The sequence below is a fragment of the Homo sapiens genome, chromosome 5, assembly GCF_000001405.40.
Source record: "Homo sapiens chromosome 5, GRCh38.p14 Primary Assembly".
NCBI classification, from domain to species: domain Eukaryota; kingdom Metazoa; phylum Chordata; class Mammalia; order Primates; family Hominidae; genus Homo; species Homo sapiens.
In genome coordinates, this window is record NC_000005.10 from 67,004,433 (window position 1) to 67,024,699 (window position 20,267).

At 39.4% G+C, this 20,267-nt stretch overlaps 1 protein-coding gene across 26 annotated transcripts in view, besides 1 other annotated feature; it reads left to right on the forward strand.

The window, feature by feature from the left end:
- Nucleotides 1-20,267, forward strand: part of MAST4 (microtubule associated serine/threonine kinase family member 4) — a 573,201-nt gene that overhangs the window by 408,040 nt on the left and 144,894 nt on the right. For 2 of the 26 annotated variants that reach the window (XM_006714606.4, NM_001290227.2), the window contains exons 1-2: nt 223-259; nt 520-653. The exons of 19 other annotated variants lie outside the window; for them this stretch is intronic. In XM_006714606.4, coding sequence (XP_006714669.1) covers nt 562-653 — 92 coding nt within the window. In that variant the 5' untranslated portion in view covers nt 223-259; nt 520-561. 5 more of the 26 variants (NM_001297651.2, NM_001393527.1, XM_047417165.1 and 2 more) reach the window with 4 other exon arrangements.
- Nucleotides 10,589-10,883: a silencer, noted in NCBI's record as "tiled region #14150; HepG2 Repressive non-DNase unmatched - State 23:Low". NCBI's record gives its function as "represses a minimal TATA promoter and a strong SV40 promoter by Sharpr-MPRA in HepG2 cells {active_cell/tissue: HepG2}" and the evidence as "EXISTENCE:reporter gene assay evidence [ECO:0000049][PMID:27701403]".

Sequence of the window (20,267 nt, forward strand, 5' to 3'; positions counted from 1 at the left end):
GGAGGGGAGGGCAAGAGCAGCTTTTTCTATTCAAATTCTTTTCCTTGTATGTAGATACCAAAAGGAAACTCGGCACTGGGCATGTTCGGATGTGAATGGTTTTGCTGATAAGCAACAGCCTCCGGAACCAAAGCCTCAAAATAGTCGTCTCCCCCGCCCCTCGCAGAAGCGGCGAGTGGTATCTGCCAAACAGATGACAAAGTACCTCCGACTGAATCCCACAGACAGCGCTTTGAGCAGAACGCACGGCTCAACTCATGTAATTACTGTTTATAGCTGGCCGAGCCTGACTAGGAGAGGGCAGACCCGAGAGGAAATCAGTTTCCCGGACCTTTGAGAGGAGGCTGTGTGTTAATTAAAGGCTAGGACGGGACGGGTACTTCTCAGACATGCTCCAAGTTGTTCTTGAGATCACAGTTCCCATCACATTTTCTCTGGAGGGAGTGAGTAGATAATTGGGATTTTTTTTTTATTTTTGGCCTTGTCTTTCTTCCTTTTTTTTACCTCTCCCCATTTTAGTCATATGGCCTTGAACCCACAGTGAATTGAAGAGAGAAAGAAATGGATATGTCTGACCCCAATTTTTGGACTGTGCTCTCAAACTTTACTTTGCCTCATTTGAGGAGTGGGAACAGGCTTCGGCGAACACAAAGGTAAAAACGCGGGGATCTCTGCCTGGAGAGGGAATGCTTTCACTTCCCAGGGGCCCACAGGCGGAGCTGCCTGAGCCCCTCAGGAGCTGGGGTTTTGTGTATTGGGTGACACTTTGAAAAGTTTATGCCCCGCTAGGGGAGGGGGTACTGTTTCAGGTATTTCTTCGTCCTTGTGGTTTCCTGGGTAACCCTGATAAATGTGCTTCTCATAGGTTTTCTCCTTTTGAAATGTGGATAATAAGACATTTCCTTGTGAGAGGTGGGGGAGAAAAAGGGAAAGAGGAGGAGATACTTTGTCTAAGTCTGTCCCTTTGACCTGATCATGTTTATCCATTTCATTCACCCAGTCATTGAGGCTTCTGGTACTTTTCGTTGAGCCCTTCAGATGTTCCTCTCTATTAAATATTTGACCTTTATAAGATGCAGATGTACGATGCAAGGATAGCCCAGGTTAGCTATTTCATACTATCTGTGGAGAGGCAGATCTACATAACTTTGTCATTTTGATTTTTCAATGGTTTGCTGGCATTTATTACTAATACAGGAGTGTCCTTTTCATTTTGTAACGTATATTTGATAGAAAAGATGGGGAAAGAAAAAGAATTTTAATGTCAAGATGAAGCTCATGCCACAAGTGACAGGCAGTTCCAAGAGTTTGCTGACACTTGTGTTGAGAGACTATGACTTTGAAGGAGGCATTTCTCACCACATTTGTGTCCAGCACAGAAAAGTAAGATTGTTGTACTTTTAGAGGGGCACACCTTTTGAGTTGTGTTAATACTGATTCTTTGTTTTCCTTCAAAACTTGCCTTGCATGTACATGTGAACATGCATGAGAGCAACTTTGCAGTCAGATAAACAGGATGCAGGCTCTCAGATTTGGAGCTTCACAATCTCTATGCTTCAGTGTTCAAAGAACCCAAGAAAATGGTTCGTTCTTTTTGGTTATACCTGTAACTTTTTGTAGTATAAATGTGGATATGTGATACTTTAGAAAACTTAGTTTTTCCTTTTGAAGTTTTTCATGGTTTCTTACATTTCAGAAACATCCTGGAATACTCACATACACTGTTTATATACATGGGTGCACACACAAATCACATGTGCACCTGTGTGTATGAGAGAGACATCTGGCAGGTTTCAAAGTCATATTTGCTTTTTGATGCAGTTTGAAGTGTTGATACCACTAAACTATGTTGGATTCTGAAGTTGTACCTTTTAAGTAATGTGACTATGTTTTTCTCGTTCTGCCATATATGGTCAGAGACCCTCTCTTGTAGTATTGCTCATTTTGTAGTATTGCTCATCAAGTTGTGTCAACCATGCACCAAACCTCCAAGACAACTAATAAAGTTGAAGAGAGATACATGCTACACATGAACTAGGCCACTGCTCAACATGGTGATAATTCGTATGATTTCTTACCATTTCAGCTGGACAGAATCCCTTAAATATTTCTGAGTTGTGTAGTCCTGGCTGCGGTACAGCCTCTACTCTTACCTGGAACCAGTTCTTAGGGAGAGAAGTCTGTTCTGGCATCGTATGTGTGTGTCTGAACCCGTAGAGCAGTTGGAGCCTTTCTTCTTCCTACCTACCTGTTGATAGTATTATTGGAGAGAGTCAGATGCAGGAGGATTCTCAGGCTGCTCTGAGCCTGGCTTTAGGGCAGTACCTGTCCAGCCTGAACACTCCAATTCAGACAGCTCACACTGACAGAGAGCCTAGATTCTAAGGAAACCTGAATTCTTCCCAGTAAAATGGGAGAGCATTGGGTGGGCTGTTTCCACCCCAAGTCATGAAACCGTATCTTCAATTTGGCAAAATAGAGAGGGAAGGGGATTTTCTTCTCCCCCTTTTAAGAGTAAAGGTTATGACAGCCTGTTTGTTGCTGGAGATTTTCAGGTTTTGCAGTTTGGAAATAAACATCCCAAAGATCATCTCTACATCCATCGAGTCATTGTCTGTCTCAAAGGGCTAGCATTGCTTTATATTTATTATGTAGATTCAGAAGGCTAGGTATCCTCATCTCCAGGGCAATGTATGTGGCTATTGCATCCTGTTATTATACAGTGATCAATTCTGGCTCCATGTCCTTCCCTAAGGACATGAAACATGTGCTTACATTGTGACTTCTACTTTTGAGATGCCCCTTAACTGTTCTAAATCCTGTTTCCTTTTCCAAGTCTAATGCTGTACCTTACCGGGCTGAGTAGTTTTTCTCCTTTCCAAAGGACCTTTCTGTTCGCAAGTTGTTCTGTTTTGCCATCCTCGATAAGGGTGTCCCCAGTGTCCAGGTGAGGACACCTTGCTGTCATCATCAGTCAGATATGCCTTAACCCTTGAGATATCTCTCATTCCCAAACTTAGTTCCTCTCCTGCACACTTGCTGACTTGTGTGACAGATTGTTCATTTTGAATATTTTATCCCATCTGTTTGTTCTGATTAACATTGTAATCTGGAGGACTTTATCTTAGCTTTTTCTTTAATATCAGCTTCTTGCATCTATCAAAGTAAAATTCAGCTTTGAGCCTATGAATGAGCATCTTAGAACTCATAAGGATAGAATGTTTGTCACACTTAAACGAGAGCTTGAATGGTTTCAGACTCTTACCTTAAACCTTTATTATGGTAGAAATTGTCATCATGGAAACTTTTGGTTTGCTACATTACGTTTGCCTTATAGTTCAATGTGATGCTGGTTTGTTAGTTTGTACTCTCAGAGAAAAATATTGAAGGTTTTTCTTAAAACCTACAGCCCTACTTGTGCCTGTAACTCTTGGGGTTCCTGAGGAAAGAAGCCTACAGACATACTCTCAGGCCTAGATTCTCAAAGATGACACAGTACTGATGAACTGAAAGACTCTGTCCCTTGTGCTACGTCCCAAGGACAGTATATTATGCCCTTCATTCTCTTTTGTCTTGACCATGGCAGACATGAGATTGTTGGGATGCACACTGGCTTTTGTCTACTCTGTTGCTGTATAGCTTACATGTTCCATTGGAAATAGTTCCTTCTATATAACTGGCTTTGTCCTCCTCTCCCTTCCCCTCATTTCCTCAAGGTAGTCTCAGTACAGCCATTCACCTGCTGCTTTGAGGGACAGAAACCTAGGCATAAATGAAGAGACTTTATACGAAAACTTGTTGCTTTAGACTGAAGTAATGATTGCATGTTTCAGAGATTTTCAGTTTCATAGGTCTGTGGCTATTCCATTCATTGAGGATCCTCTCACAACTCAGAATGGAAATTAGTTGGCCTGCATTCATGTCACTGCTTATGTTTATAGCATCTTTTCTTTGCCCATTGGATGAAAAACTTTTGGGGGAAACGAATCAAGCTTCTCTTTTAATTATATCTGCTCTCTGTCACACCTTAAGGAAAGGGCTACAATTGATTTCTAAATGTTGCTGCTAAGTTTTGAGTTGGGCCTTTAGTTTTGCTGAAGTGCAGTCTTGAGAATCCAGAAGATGCTTGTGTTTTAACCTTAATGTTTAGAAATCTGTCATGTTTTCATTTTGCTTAATGATAATCTTTCAACCTTGATGATGCCTAAATCAATAAAACCATTTTCCACGCCGATGGGTAGTTTGTGACTCAGTTCATCACTTTGAGCAAGTTTCCAAATGTCTTTTTCTGAGAACCAAAAAAGAAGTTTTTGGGGTTTTTATTTTGGTAGTTGTTTTTTGCAGAATTCACATTACTCAGTAATTGCTATGAACAGCAGGTACCTTCAGGGATCTTAAACTAAATCCTGTAGTTGTCAGGATGTATTGAATTTTTTATGCATTCGGCATCTTCCCTTCAGATACATCTGTAGTGTTTGATGAGTTTTTCCTTTGTTTTGCTCATGAATATATGTCATGACTATGAGAACTATAGAGAATCCTCTTCCCTCTTGCCCTGGTATTCCAGGTGTTAGTAAACCTGTACTCACCCCTTTTACCCAAATCCCAATTAACTCCACATTTATTAAGCACCTATTGTGTACCTGGGCACTGTGACCCAATTTTGAAAGCTGTAGGCATGCTTTCAATGAAGACAAGTAAATGAATCATTGCAAACCAGGACAATCAAGAAGTATTTACAAGGTACATATAAGCCATAGGAGCTCACATATAAGCTCAGTGAGTAAGAGAGAATTTGGTCTCAGGGAACCAGAAGAGACACCACATAGAAAAGGTTTTGAAAGATATTTGCTGTTGACGAAAGTGAAGAACAGAGCCTTTCCAAGGGGCAGGATAAATGGTGTGTACAAAGGCCTGGTGACCTTGGCAACACAGAGTTCCAGGAACTAGACATGGCTTAGTATTGCTGAAGCAGAGAGTTGGAAGGGGCAGTACTGCACAGTGGTTAAGAGGGTCGTTCTGAAGCCCATTTACCTGGGTTAACATCTTGACTGTATGAGATTGGTTATGTTAACTTTGGACTTCACTTGCTCCGTCTATAAAATAGGGATAAGTATTTATCTTATAGGATTGTTGTAAAGATTAAAATGCATTCATATGTGTAAAATGCTTAATGAAATGACTGGCATGTAAAAATTCTCAATAAATTTTAGCTGTTAATATTACTGCTGTCATTACAAATGAAGATGAGTAGTGGGTGGTGAAGCTGCGGAGGAGAGCTGAGGCGCTTGGCATATGAGGGAGTTTGGTTTTGATCCTGTGCTGGGAAGACATGTCTAGCCACACTGGGGTTTAGGTCTGGGAGTGGGGGTGAGACCTGCAAGCCAGTTAATAAGTTCTTGGGGTAGTCTGTTTAAAAGATTTTGCAGGGCTAGATAAAGAATGAAGTGAGATTGTGCCTTTGAGAGATATGAAGGATATGACGTTGATAGAAGTTGATGAGCCATTGACTCTGAGAGAAGAAGAAATATTCCATGATGGCCCTGGGGTTTTTGACTCCAGGAACCAGGAAGAGGGAGGAACCACCTGTACTTATGAGAGTGAGGCGGGGAAAACACAAGAACCTATATTATACTTGCCCCTTTTTTCCCCTAAAGCTCAGTTATTCACATTTATTGAAGATCTGTTGTGCACTGAATACCACGGGATATTTATTCCTTCATTCAGCCAGTATCCCAAACGTGTATCCCATGCTGGTCAAGGGACACAGTGATAAATGAGATAGATGAGTACTTAGGCCTCACCAATAAACAAGTATCCAACTAAGTCAATTGCCAATGTGGTCAGTATTCCAATGGCTGTAAGCAAGAGCCGAGATGAGAACATAACCCTGTGGGGTGATGATGGGAGTTACTTCAGATAACGTGGTCAGGGAAGGTCTTTCGAGAAGGTAATATTTAAGGGAGCCCTCAAGGATGAGAAAGAGCCATCATGGGAGGAGTTTGGGGACAGGCATCTGGGAACATCGAAGGCACTGAGACTGGAAAGAAAGAGCCCCCTAGGCAGGCAGCTGAGTACATAAATCCAGGGCACTCAGGCAGGCTGTGCCAAAATAATAAACACGGGACTTACTATTAAGACCATCTGAGAAATACATCAGATTAATACATGGGAGAATTAAAGATACCCCGCTTAAGGAGTGGGCAGAAATGCAGCGAGGTACAGGAAAGGAGACTTAGTCGGAAAAAGTCCCCTATAAAGGGAGGGGACCAGGAGGGTGCTGTCCTGGAAATCCCAGGAGGAAAATGGTCAACACCCCCAGCACTCCACAGAGAGTTGAAGTGAAGGTGTGTGTTGCATCTGGCAACTGGAAACTCATGGATGACTTGAGCATGAACAGGTGCCCCAGGGTGGGGGTGTCATAACCCAGGAGAGAGTGAAGCAAGGACTTGGAGAACAGGGGTGGTGGCCACTCTCTGTGGGCAGCTAAATACAGCAGCAGCGCAGCTATGATGGCCTTGCCTCTGCACATTCGTGGCTGGCCCGTCAGCCCTCCTCCCTGAATCATATCCCCTTACTCACTGTTGCTCACTTTGTTGTCTGCTTCATTGCCCAAATTGGCAATGACAGTTTCCTTTTCACCTCCCTCTGGAAGCTCAAATTTCTTCCGTAGCCTTATGACTGTTCCTTTGTGACATGTTTAGGTTTGGAGTTTCTCTTACTGTAAAGCCCTGACCGAGCGTCTCTGGCTCCCACACACCACCTCTTGCTCTCCTCCTGAGGCCCTGGTACCCCAGCCCCTCCCCTGCAGCCTAGTCCACAGGAGACTGAAGCCTGGCCCCACTTGTTGCTCCTCTCCTCCTCTCCACGCCTGACCTGCAGGCTCTGCCCCTCCCTGAGTCCCTGAGCCCATTTCCTCCCACTCCTTGCTTTGCCCAGGCCTGTTTCGTAGTTGCTTCCTTTCATCCTTGTACTTTCTTTATGCTCTTGACTGTGTCTTCTGCAGGCAGGACAGACTTACAAATCATGCAGGGCTTGCCCCTTCAGTCCTTCTGTCATTTCTAGTTAGCTCTCACGTTGCTAATATTCCATGACGCCGTCCAGTAACCTGGGCTGCCCTTGCTCCTGACCGCCTCTCCCCCAGCCTGGTCAGGGATACCCCTAGAGCAGAGGAGAAAACTGAGCTCCAAGCCCAGAGCTTCCAGCAGCTGAGTGGCTCCTGTTGAGAGCCTGGCTGTCCCAACTGTGGCAGCATTCGCAGATTCTGGGCATCTAAGGCTTACCAGATACAAAGGATGGAAGCAGAAATATGCACAGTTCAAAAATGTTGCTTTTAGCTTCTAGTGTGAAACTTACAGTAGGAGATCACAGACTGTTTTGCCCCTGGAATATGTAGGTCTTTTGTGAGACAAGGGGGAGGGAGGAAGCGAGGAAAGAGTGAGAGAGAAGGGAGAGAGAAATGTGTGAGAGTGCAAAAAGTAGATTTCAAAAGAAATTCATTAAAAATAAAACATAAGAATTATGGAGCATATGCTGCATGGGGAGGCATGGTCTATTCACTGCTATTGTGTGTGTGTGAGAGAGAGTGTGTTTCTGTGTGTGTCTTCACTCAAGGCAGTGGTGGGAGTAGTATATTGATAAGTGCACAGTGATGGGTAGAACATTATATTCTCTAATGGTTTTGCTTGCTTCTCTTTACACATCTATCCTGTTATCAGAAGCTCAAGTAATACCTTTAAACAGGAATCGTAAGCTTCAAGATAGAGACCATTTGCCTTCTGGGTTAAAGATTGACAGGTGTTGGGGTCAAGGAATCATTTGAATTCCTGTGTGGAGATGGCCCATAGAAGAGGAAGCTTGGAATAGGACTCTATCTGAATAATTTGGGAAAGTCCTTCTTCCGTTGGTTGAAATGGAAATAGCTGGTGTCTCACACAGATGGAAACTGGAGGCCCTGGACCCCAGCCTCACCCTCCATACACACCCATCTCTAGTGTGAGTAAGCATGTTATGTTAATCTGAGCTGTCTTCACTACCTGTAACTAGTCATTTGGGAGTGACATCATGGTAACTGAGTAATCCTTTTGAAACTTACATAGTAGAGCCAAGATATTAAAATGGTCCTGGGGCTACCTAGATGAAAGTAGATACAAAGTGTGCATAAAATTGTCTACTAAAAGTAGAGTCAGTCTCTATCAGTAGGAACTTGGTTTTTGTGATAATGTGGTACATTTTGTAACTAGATAGATCTCAAAAGTTCATACATTGTAGTTCTGGTACTGTCCTTATTTCCAGGCAGATAGAAAAAAAGAAAAGAAAAAAATTCCACTAGGAACTTGGTTGTAAATTCTGAAAATGTTGATCTTAAACCTTATTAATACAATAAAAGGACCTGTGGGAATTTTAGCTACATTAATGTCTATTGGACATGCCTATTTGAGAAGGTAATTATACTAATATCACAACTGACATATCATGGTTTTATTTTAAAGAAAAAAGACCATAGCAGAGAATTTAGGCTTTGATCAGTACTTGAAGGTAAAATAGATTGGTAAGAAGAATAGGCAGTCATTACTGTATATCTCTTATCTGAAGCACCCCATTGCTTACTTTATTATAGAATCCTGGGAATTTTTACATTCTGCTTTGTGGTCCTACATTTATCAGTGACTGATTTTGTCAGAGTTTGGGGGCTCTTAGCAAACTGTAATTGCAGGCAGTAGTACAAGCAAAATGCAGATCTTGACATCTGGTAGGCCAACCACCATTTTTATTCTGAAGTTCTTGAATAAGCTTTTAGCTGTTCAAAGTAAGTACCAGCACCTTGTGCCCCTGGAAAGTTTCTAACCTGACATGGAAGTTCAAGTGGCAGTATCTTTTAGAGGTAGTATATTGGGTTCTGAGTGAAAAACCTAGGTGGAGGGAATGAGAAACTGAAAATGTGAAATTTGCTGAGGTCTCTTAGGGTCATAGAATTAGAAGGGGAAGAAAGCTGATGGATTTACCAGGCCCATTTTGCCACATGAGTATTTGTTGAAGCTATCAAACAAAATAAAAGCTGTAAAGAAGTATGCTTTATTCTATCTAATTTTAAATGTTACAGTGTATGTTTATGTCTCACGCTTTACTGGGTTTCTTCCTTAAGAGTCGTTATTGGAATATTATGTAGTCATTGACAAATTTCTCAGCTATGAAATCTGTAGAAAATCACTGGATCCATAGCTTACATAAAAATCACTTATGCCCCTTTCACATTAATGTTTTCTAAAATGCAATAGGATGGATATATTTAAATTGGGAATTATAATAATTTAAAAAGTATAAGTATAAAATGTTTTACTTTTATAGATGTATGAAGGGGTTGAGGGAAAAAATTATGTTTGGCATGGGAAAAACTGCCAGCTGAATAAAGCACTCGAGGAAATATGGTAAATGAAGCCTTTGTTACTGTAAAACAATAGGCATTAAGTGGCTATTATGTAATGTTATTTCTTATGTCTGATTTGAGTGGCTTGTTGATCTTGGAACTTGAGATATAATTCCTGTAAAAATATTACTTTCACTTGGCTAATCTCAAGACTTTTGATACAAAAATCAAAGACTTTTCCAAATAGATTACCTAGATCAGGAACTAAGTACTGGAGCTACTGAAGCTATGTCAGATTTTTTTTTTTTCCATGTAAGGACTGATTTTATCTACTTAACTATTCCCTATCCTAGTACCCTTCCAGATAAACACAAGTAATTTGCTAACCCAAAAACTGGTTTATTGTAAAATTAACCTAGGCTTGCTCAACCACTGCAAAGGGCAGGCATGTGGCAAAACAATTGATAGGCACATCAGTTGCCTTGGCAAGTTGAATGGATGATTTTAAGTTCGCATTTCCATAGTAGGTCCCTAAGCAGAAGGATTTCTCATCTTTGATGTCAAATGGCCTTAGTGACCAGTGGAGCTAAACAGATGTGGGATAATTTGGGTGCTTTAGGTAATAGTTCTTGTTATGGATTCTGCAAAATAAGCCTCTAAGCGTATGAATCATAATTTCCTATATGTTTTAGGATTTGATGTCTGGGGTTACGTATTTGAACCGTGGAATAAAAGTTGCCGTATTTTTACTGTGTGGCCTGTAAAACTTATTTGTAGCATTCTTTCTCAATAGATGCCTTCTCTCCTGTGAAGTTCAGGCAGGTTAGCCTTTGAAATCAAGGATTTTTAAAGTGAAAAATCAATAGTGACTTTCTTAACATTGGAATCCAGGCTTAAGATCAGAGACCTGCTCTCTTCAGTCCAGTTCTTGGATCTTACTGCTTTTAATGCTATTTTACCAGCATAGCCATGGCCAAAATGCCATTTTAGCAGGTAGACTTCATTTTTCTATAACATTGTGATTATGTATTATTTGATGGCTTCTTGTAGAGGAAGCTCTTTAATCAAGAGCAATTGTGGTTTTTCTTACCTTTTGAGATTTAACCTTACAATTAGTCTACCTTCTCACATCAGATCTAGGGTGATTTAGAGGTCAAAGAGAACAGATACTGAACTGGTTAGCTATTAATATGATACAACTTCTTTATGCCATTTCTCGGATATAGAGACATTCCATGGAATGGGTCCCAGGTTGGAAATCCATGAGGGAAAAGGGTTCTGACTCTTGGCACTGATAAACATATTCAGAAATGTTGTATTCCAGCCAGAGTAAATATATATGCCCTTTATACTTTTTTTCAGTTAGCAGAAGTTACTTCTAAACACTTATTTTGGCATTAAGGAAGCTCGTCATGACCTATTGTTCCAGAAAGATTATAGTCCTCGTTTTAAGCCAGTTCTTTAGTTCCCATGTAAGTGGCATGCCCAGCCTGGAGCTGAAGAAACAACCCCTGCTTTTCAAACCTTCCATTCTTATAGGTGTGTCCAGCAGGCAGTGGCTTGTAGCTGTTCCTTCAGCCACTTAACAGGTTTGATTTCAAAGCTTTTTAATAGAGAAACTAACATGTTTGGAGGGGATTCATGGCCCAACATTTATGGATTTTGTTGGGAAGTCTCAGGTGTGTATTTATCTTAAGTATATGTTAAGGCTATTAGACAAAAGTAATTGTTTGTGCTTTGCTCTGTTTTGTTTTTGCCGTCTAGTCCTAGACTGAATTTCTTAAGATTATCTTAGGGATTGGACTGGGAGGGAGTAGTTCCGAGTCCCGAAGGCTATATATCTCCACTTTCAGTTCCTTTTCTTTGGCTGCCTAAAGAGGAGCACTAAAGAGGAGTCAAGTGATTATAAATTCGGCCAAAAGACAGAGAAACCAAGAGCTGGACGATTAACCTCTGAAACATGGGAAGTTAATTACATTTACAAATACTTGGAGGGGCTATTTATGAGTCATGCATCTCTCTGTGACCCTTTTACTGCTTTGGGAGCTTGTGGATGAGGCTGAATCACTCTCTGAAACCTGATAACCTGATAACCTAGTTTGGCTAAGTTTGGCTTCTGTGAACAGGGTCTGAGGATTTATCACATCACGTCATTTTTTCATTTGTATGCCAAATATTTATTGAGTACCTTTTATGTGACCAGGGCTATGATTATCACCTGGGAAACAAAGATATGTATAGCATGATCCTTTTCTTCAAGTAGCTCAATCTAGTGGGCTTTAGACAGTAATACAAAGAATTAGAGTAACATGCGGTAACTGGTAGATCTGCCAACATCAGCCGAGGAGGAGGGAGGGGGAGGATATCTGTGGAGACAGTTTGATATAGTCTCATTTAATCCTCACAACAATTCTGTGAAGAATATGTTATTATATTTATTATACAGATGAAAAAATTGAGGATTAGAGAAATTACTTAACTGTCCCTAAATCTCACCACTAGTGAGTAGTGAATTTGGATAAAAACTTTACTATCTTATGGCCAAAAGAAATACAGCTCCAACAACATTCTAATTACTGAAAATAATATTTGTAAAGCAAGATTTTAGTACCTTTTTAATTTTATAGGACAGTACCCTCTTGGCAATTCAAAAGATATTTGTAGAATATAGAGCTCTGATAATTTTGATCTTTGGTACAGAAAATGCTGCTGCTGTCTGAGGGAAGAGAGTGAAAAATAGAAGTAGGTTTTACTTTGTTTTAAGATTGCTACCTGCTGATTCTCTTTCCTATTAATGGAAATTGTAAATGTATTCTGCTGTAATTTCCTCATCTTAAAGTATCACAGTTTATGATGGTATTTAAATGGGTTTGTGCTTTTAAATTGAAGCTTTACTTATGGTGTCGCTCTGCACAGCTGCTGTCTTCCAGGCCTTTGAATGATTAACACCCCATGCACTCAGGCTTATTTTCCTGAGCTTTCCCTGTATGTATTATAAAATCCTGCACATTCACATAAGTGTATATGTTATCTACACATTTCAAAATCCATGCCGATCTTGTAATAATGCATATAGTTCATCCCTTAGAAAGGACAAAAATTCTTTCTGATTATGGATGGCAATACAATGGGTATGCCAGAAAATATCTGTTGGGAGATTTTAGAGATGATTTACTTATAGGCTTCTTTCCTTTTAAAAAATGTAATAATTCGTCTTGAAGGTGCTATTGCTAACTGTTTTTAAGGAGGAGATGACTCGATGGCACTCAAATACACCTTTTCCTTTGAGAAAATTGCTGTGTTTAGAGAACGAAAAAGTAACTGCTTTGTAATACATAAAACAATTGCATAAGAATAGACTATAAATAATCTACAACACACAAAGGACACAAATATTGTGTCCAGAATTCTCTAAACCACACACACACAGAAAAACTTTACTGGCCATCTCTTAGCTTTTGGTGATACAATATGTGAGCTGTTTTTGAGGAATAGCTGCCCCTACCTAAGGACGGAATGAAAGAAGTCTTCCCTTTAGGAACTTTGTTAAGGGTTAAAGAAAGTGTGTCTTATTACTATTAACCTAGGCCTAAGAGTTACTCAGATGTGTACTGACACAGGGTTTACCACTTGTATCAGGCAACTAGGTGTTAGTTTTGTTTTGTTGAGACAAGTTTATTGAGATACAATTTACACATGGTAAAATCATCCTTTTTCAGGTATGTAGTTCAATAAGTTTTAACAAAGTTATGTAGCTAACATACAAGGAAAGATATAGAGTATTTCTTTCTTTCTTTTTTCTTTTCTTTTTTTTTTTTTTTTGAGACAGACTCTCACCCTGTCACCCAGGCTGGAGTGCAATGGTGTGATCTCAGCTCAGTGCAACCTCTGCCTCCCAGGTTCAAGTGATTCGCCTGCCTCGGCCTCCCGAGTAGCTTACAGGTGTGCGCCACTATGCCCAGCTAATTTTCGTGTTTTTAGTAGAGACGGGGTTTCTTCATGTTGGTCAGGCTGATCTGGAACTCCTAACCTTGTGATCCGGCCACCTCGGCCTCCCAAAGTGCAGGGATTGCAGGCGTGAACCACCGCACCCGGCCAAGTATTTCTATTACCTCAAAAAATTTTACATAGATTGAGCAGTTTGATAATGCTAATATATGATTAGAATAAGACATTTTGTTTTGCTCTCCTTTCCTATTTTACAACTAAGCTTTACATTTTACTAATATTTCACAATTTTTTCCTAATATCCTTTTTCTATTCCATCTAGGATACTATGGTACACTGTGTCATCCTCTTTAAAAATCATTTTTATGAGGAAATGATTAACACATAGTTAGATTACATGGTGATATTGTCAAGTGAAGTACCAGAAAAATGCATCAGAATGGGATACTTGAAAGATAAGCAAACTAAATTGTGTGGTCTACTGTTAATATGTAATAGCTCGTTTGGACAGACACAGTTGCTTATGCCTGTAATTCCAGCACTTTTGAGAGGCAGGAGGGTCATTTGAGCCCTGGAGTTCAAGACCAGCCTAGGCAATTTAGGGAGAGCATTGTCTCCATAAAAAATTTTAAACATTCGTGCCTGTGGTCCCAGCTACTCTGGAGACTGAGGCAGGAGGATTGCTTGAGCCCGAGAGGTCGCAGCTGCAGTGAGCAATGGTCGTCCCACTGTACTTCAGCCTGGGCAACAGAACAAGACCCTGTCTCAAAAAAAAAAGTCCCTTTGATACTACATAGATGAAAAACTTGTAAGAAACCAGATAAACAGATTTGACTAGCAGGAAATTGTTAAAAATAATTTGGGGGTGTTTATTGGGGAAGGAAACAGGGCCTTGACAGTGGAGGACTTGGAAGACATGTAATTTAAGATATAGAGTATGATTGTTGGAAAATAAGCATGGAGATCCAGAAGGAATCTTAAGAGTTTTTCTATGCAAGTGAAGATGGAAGAAAATATGTATTTTACAAAAGATAAATTACAAGTACCTTATTTGCTTTGCAAAATAACTTATCATGTTCTTCCACTATTTTTATTATATTTTAATTTTAATGAAACTTATATAACATTTACACTAAATTTTAAATACATGGCTCAAGACAAAAAAATGGGGAAAATATTTTTTAAAAAATCACCCCAAATCCTGGTACTCAGACATAACCACTATTACAAACTTGGCAGAGTAATATTTTTCCTGTCTGCATGTGTGCACACATGTGTGCATGCATACCACAAAGTAGATGTTTTACTATATCTCCTGGTTTATTATCTGCTTTTTTCCCTTAATAAGATTCTTTTAAATGCCCAACTTTGCAATGGTAAGATTTCTAGAAATTTTTAAAAAACCTATAATATACAAGAAGACTGGGGCGGGTTGATGGTAAATCCTGGGGCACATTGGAAAGGCGTCCAGAGGCCGCTGTGCTAATTAATGCGCAGCTGCACCCATTGTGGGCATGTCCACAGCCGGCTTCCTGGTATGCAGTGGAGATGGGCCCATTGACACTAGTGAAGGGACCCTGGATGGGCTCACATTTCAGGTCCTGTTTTTCTCCAACTGTATTTGGATCTCTCTTGAAATGCTCCCTTTAAAAATACTAATGCTAGCTCAGAAACACTCCAATTACCATCTCCCCACAGGCTTAAATGTTAAACCTCAAGATCTAAACTTTATCCCTTATGTATGTGAGCAGGCTTGCCAGATGGCAGGCCAATTAATATATTTTTGCAAGGTGTAGAAATGTTTTTTCTCCATAGGGGAACAATGAATCCATCTGCTCCACATCTTCCTTTCCCCTCTGTCTTTTGGGGAAAACCATTATTTAATTTTCAGACATAAGTTGTGCAACTTTGTAAGTGATACTTTCTGCTTTTTTAGGGAAGTAGCTTTAATAATTGAAACTTTTTTTTAAACTCTAAAGATGTGAAGAACCCTGTCATGGACTAAAATATATGGACATCTAAGTTCTATCCGGGGAATTACTTTTTTTGAAAGTTGGGTATATAGAGTCGTATGTTGAAAATCTGATTCATGGAGGTATAATCTGGAATAGACTTCCAAAACCGTCTAGTTGAACCCCCTCATTATAAGATGAGGAAATTAATATTTAGGTAACAAAATTTCAAGCTGGTAAACAACAGAGATGGTCTGGGAACCTTGTCTTCAGGTTCCAAAGTAGGACAACCATGGTGAAAATAGAATCTTTAATCTCTTGAGGGGAAAACCTAGTTAAGATTCAACTAGGAGAAGTATGCTCTTATTTATGCCTGTTCTCCCTTGAGTTTCAGGCACTGAACTGTACATGTTACCTCTACAGTGTCTTTTTGCCCTCAAGTGGCAATTCAGATCAGCAGATAATTAACCATTTAGTGACTATGCCTTGCTTCCCAGTTCTCTTGAAAGTTCCTGAAGGACAATTGCCACATCCTCTTTTAAAGTAGTTATGGATGGTGTACTAGCTGGTCATGGAATGAATTAATTACTGAATATATAAATGTCAATGAGGTTGTTTTACAAAATTCTCTCAGAGATTGTTGGAATTCTGGGAGCATGACCACATTATATCCTTCCAACAATCTGCCACATTATCATACAGAATTTGGTTTCTTTCCCCTTTGGTATGAAGGAATTTACCACTGACTATTCCAGAAGCTTCTCTTGGAAGGATTGTTTCGCCTGTTTACCAGCATGTTTAACGTCCTCCATATTTTGGGATAGATGGGCTTACATCAGCTACTGTTAAACAAGAAGGAAGGATTTAGACTTGGCATTTTTTCTTCTATTCAAGTTGACGCCTCTTCCTCTGTTTTCACACTAAGAGGCCCTTCTCATGTAGTAGAAAGGGTTTAGAGTTTGGATTTGGACAGAAGGTTGGAATGCTGAGTTAGACTTGTGACCTTGGCAGGCCATCTCACCTATGATACTTGGTTTCCTCATCTTTCAGTATGGAAAATAATCAGCAAGCCTTTTTTGTACCATAAGTAAAATGGATTGTGACGCACTTAGAGCAAGTGTAGACAGACTACAGCCTGCAGGCCCAATCTGGCCACTGCCTGGTTTTGTGTACCGACCTTTATTAGAACACAGCTACACTGATTCCCATGGGATGGTCTGTGGCTCTTTGTGCTACAATGACAGAGTCAAGTAGTTACCACAGAAACTCTGGACTGCAATTATCTGGCCCTTGACAGAAAGACTTTGCCAACCTCTTACCTAGGACAATCCCTAGCAAATATAGAGACTCAATAAATTGTAATTTTACCCTTTTTCCATTGGTTGGTTGAAGTTCAGTCTTTCCTTTAGGCACTCTTTCAAGAAAGTTAGTTTAGGCATGGCCTTCTCTGGTAACCCTTCTACAGCCCTACCCCACTTCTGGAGTATAGCCAAGGCCTTGAGCCATGGTACAGGACAGAACATGTTGAAAGAGGTATCTTCATGGCCCCCACACCCTGATATGTATCATGTCCTGACTTGAATTGAATGTTGTGCATGTTACAGGAATAGAATTTTCTCTTATCCAAGTGTAAATACAGGCATGCTATATAGATTGCAACGTATCCCAATTTAGCTTAGATTATTTCTCACTATATATTGCAAGGTGAGTCCAGTCTATGCTTCTTCAAAAGCTTCTAAACACATTTGAAAATACGCTAAAAAAAAATCATTACAAATTGCAAATACCATATTTAGCAAGGGACCTTCTGAAATCTTAAACCAGGAATTTCTGAAATGACTCTGAGCCATTTGAACAAAAAAGTTCTCAAAGGAGCAATAAGATTTTTTTGGTGTGTTTATTTTGCTTTGTTTTTTAAGCAAAGTGAATTCACAGTTTCTTAGCAGTTTTGATTAGGGACACCCTGGTGTCTGGTAGAAGACTAAGACTGAGAATAGACTGTGGTAGAATGTGCCAGGTGAGGACTTACTGATTGATTACCACACTCTAACTCCCACACACAGTGGAGAGAAAGATGAGGACTTCTGAGAGTTGCTAAAGGCAGTTATGTTTGCTTGATATTTTTTATTTTAAAAAATGTATTGAGGAGTCATTTTTCAGGATACTAAAAGGATTTCTTTGTTCAATATTTTAACATTTCCTTGTGTCTTAAAAAATACTGAAGAAATTATAAGAGCATTACCCAAAATTTTGTAAAGTTCTCCTTGATTCTCTCTGTCCCCTACTCCCTGCTTATTTTAATGTTTCTTTTGCTTTCACACATTCCTCAGTTAGCATTCATTCCAACATGTTGTAATTCTGTATATACTTATCTGAATTCCAAGCTGACTGTGAGTGTCTTGAGACATAGACTTTATGCCAGCATAGTGCCTGGCACATAATAGACACTTAATAAAGGTTTATTGAATGAAAGCACCGCACAGTGAGCATATTCGTGCTTATAGCTTTTTCTGTCTTTTGGACTATGTCCTTAGGATAATTTCCCAGAATAGAGATTTCTATGCCAAAGTGACGTGAACATGTTTATGAATCTTAATACATCATGCCAAGTAGCTTTTTGTCTACTTGAGGTGCCTTCCAAGTTTGTGACTCTCATATTGCATGGTACATTATTGCTAGAATGTCAGTCTTGTGTTCCCTATTTTCTCTACCAAAAAAAAAAAATGACAGTAGGGTATGTTATTGCCAAATTCATGTTTGGAATGAACATTGCATATACTTTAGGACGAAGAGCTTCTAAAGAATAAAATTCCCTCATGTGGAACTTGGGAAACAAGGAGGCAGGCAGCAGGGGCAAGGTACTGGATAAAAGATACTTTTATAGGGGCAAAGAACTTCTGGAGTTTCATTACTACTATGAACCTTTACTGAATTGTCATCAGTATTTCAAGGAAACAATTGAATATTTTTGTTTACTTTTCCCCTTTAACACATTTAATGTTCAAATACGAAACATTACTAAATGCAAATTGCTGTTAATGCACATTCCAAGGTCTGCTTTTAACAAAGTCTGAAACTGTTTGTGTAATGTATGATGCATTTCCATCTTCAATTGATCTGATTTGTGTGTGTGAAATAAGATTGAGCCTCCATGCTGTGACCTTGAGCAACAGTAGCTTTTTTTTTTTAAGTTTCATATTTCCCCTCTCACACACCTAGAATATGGCAGGCCCATAAATTACCAATGATAAATAGGCATATCTACCTTTTGGTGCAAGCATGTAATTGATGAACACATAGAATCACCCAAGTGATACTTTATAAGATGGCATGTGAAGTTTGTGGGGTCTAAGCTAAATAGAGCAAGAACAATGTTCTATTAGAAATATCCTGTGGAGACTGATGTAGAATCATCAATTCATTAGAATATGAATAGGAAGGTTCAGCAGATATTCTAAATAACTATGATTTATGATTAATCTAAGTTACATATTCCATTGTATATATGTTATTGTCCAGCTTAGCTTCAACCCACATTAAGCTATGACTTCAGTTTCTGGAGAGATAGTGAGATAAAGGAATGAGAAAAAACTTCTTACGTTGTAGGTCTAGCTTTCAGATAATATCCCTCATCTTTTCTAGCAATCTAGAGTCTGTGGGCCTTGACCTACTTGGACATTTTTAGGAGAATCTTTGAGAAGCCAATAATTACATGGTAGCACATGATCATACGTTGGTCATTCCAAGCCATACGTAGCTCTATGAACAATGATGTCAGTGTTTCCAGAGCCCATTGCTTCAAGACCTTAAAGATACATCTAGGTGGCTCATGGAGAATCAAAGTGAGAAAGTCTTTCTGTGGACCCTGGGTCCTATTATTTAGACAGAGCCAAATGAATCTTCATTATGTGGATCGGAGTGAACATGGTGGAGGACTAAGAACAGATCCTCCTAACCCAATGGCTGTAACTCTTTTGAGATGTGTATTTTTATTCTGAGTTATTTGCAAACTTATGGGTGGAGGGCAGGATGGTGGGGTAATTATGATGTGATATTTTGAGTGTTTGAAAGACTGGCAAATGTAGGATAAATATACCTCCTTAGCTTATTCATATTCAGTACTCAGGTTTTTTTTTAAATTTTGTCCAATTACTGCTCCATCTCTTCTTCATTCTGTTCATGTCTTTTATTATTTTTTAGGATAGAAAAAAATGTTTAATTGTGTACACATACAATTTACCATCTTGGCCATTTTTAAGTGTACACTTTAGTAGTGTTAAGTACATTTACAGTGCTGTGCAGCCACAGAACTCCTTTCATCCTGCAAAACAAACTCTACTCATTAAAGAGCAACTCCCCATTCCCCCTCCCCCAACCCCTGGCCACCCCCATTCTAACTTTCTGTCTCTATGAATTTGACTACTCTAGGTACCTCATTTAAGTGGACTTATGTAGTAGTTGTCTTTTTGTGGCTTGCTTATTTCACTTAGCACAATGTCCTCAAGGTTCATCCATGTTGTAGAATGTCTTGGAATTTTCTTCCTTGTTTCTGGCTGAACAGTATTCCATCCACACACACGATGGAACACTGTTCAGCCTGAAACAAGGAAGATATATATATATATCTATATATATATACACACACACACACACATACATATAGATAGCTATATATGTACACACACGATATATATCTATATGTATACACATACATAATCGTGCAAGCATATATATGGAAGGTGCACTGTTGTGCTCAAAATGTGGGGTGTGTATATATAGATATATACATATCTATATATACACATTCAAAAGACTTTCAAATCTATTTTCTAGAAAGGATTGCGTTATCTTCATCCTAAGTAATGTGTAAGTACTATTTGCAGTCATTGAGGATAATCCTCTTTGGTGGTAAATAGGTGAACTGATTTTCTTTTTCTTAGATGTTTGAGTTTTAACACTTAATATCTAAACTTGCTTTTGAATACCTTGAATGAAGAAAC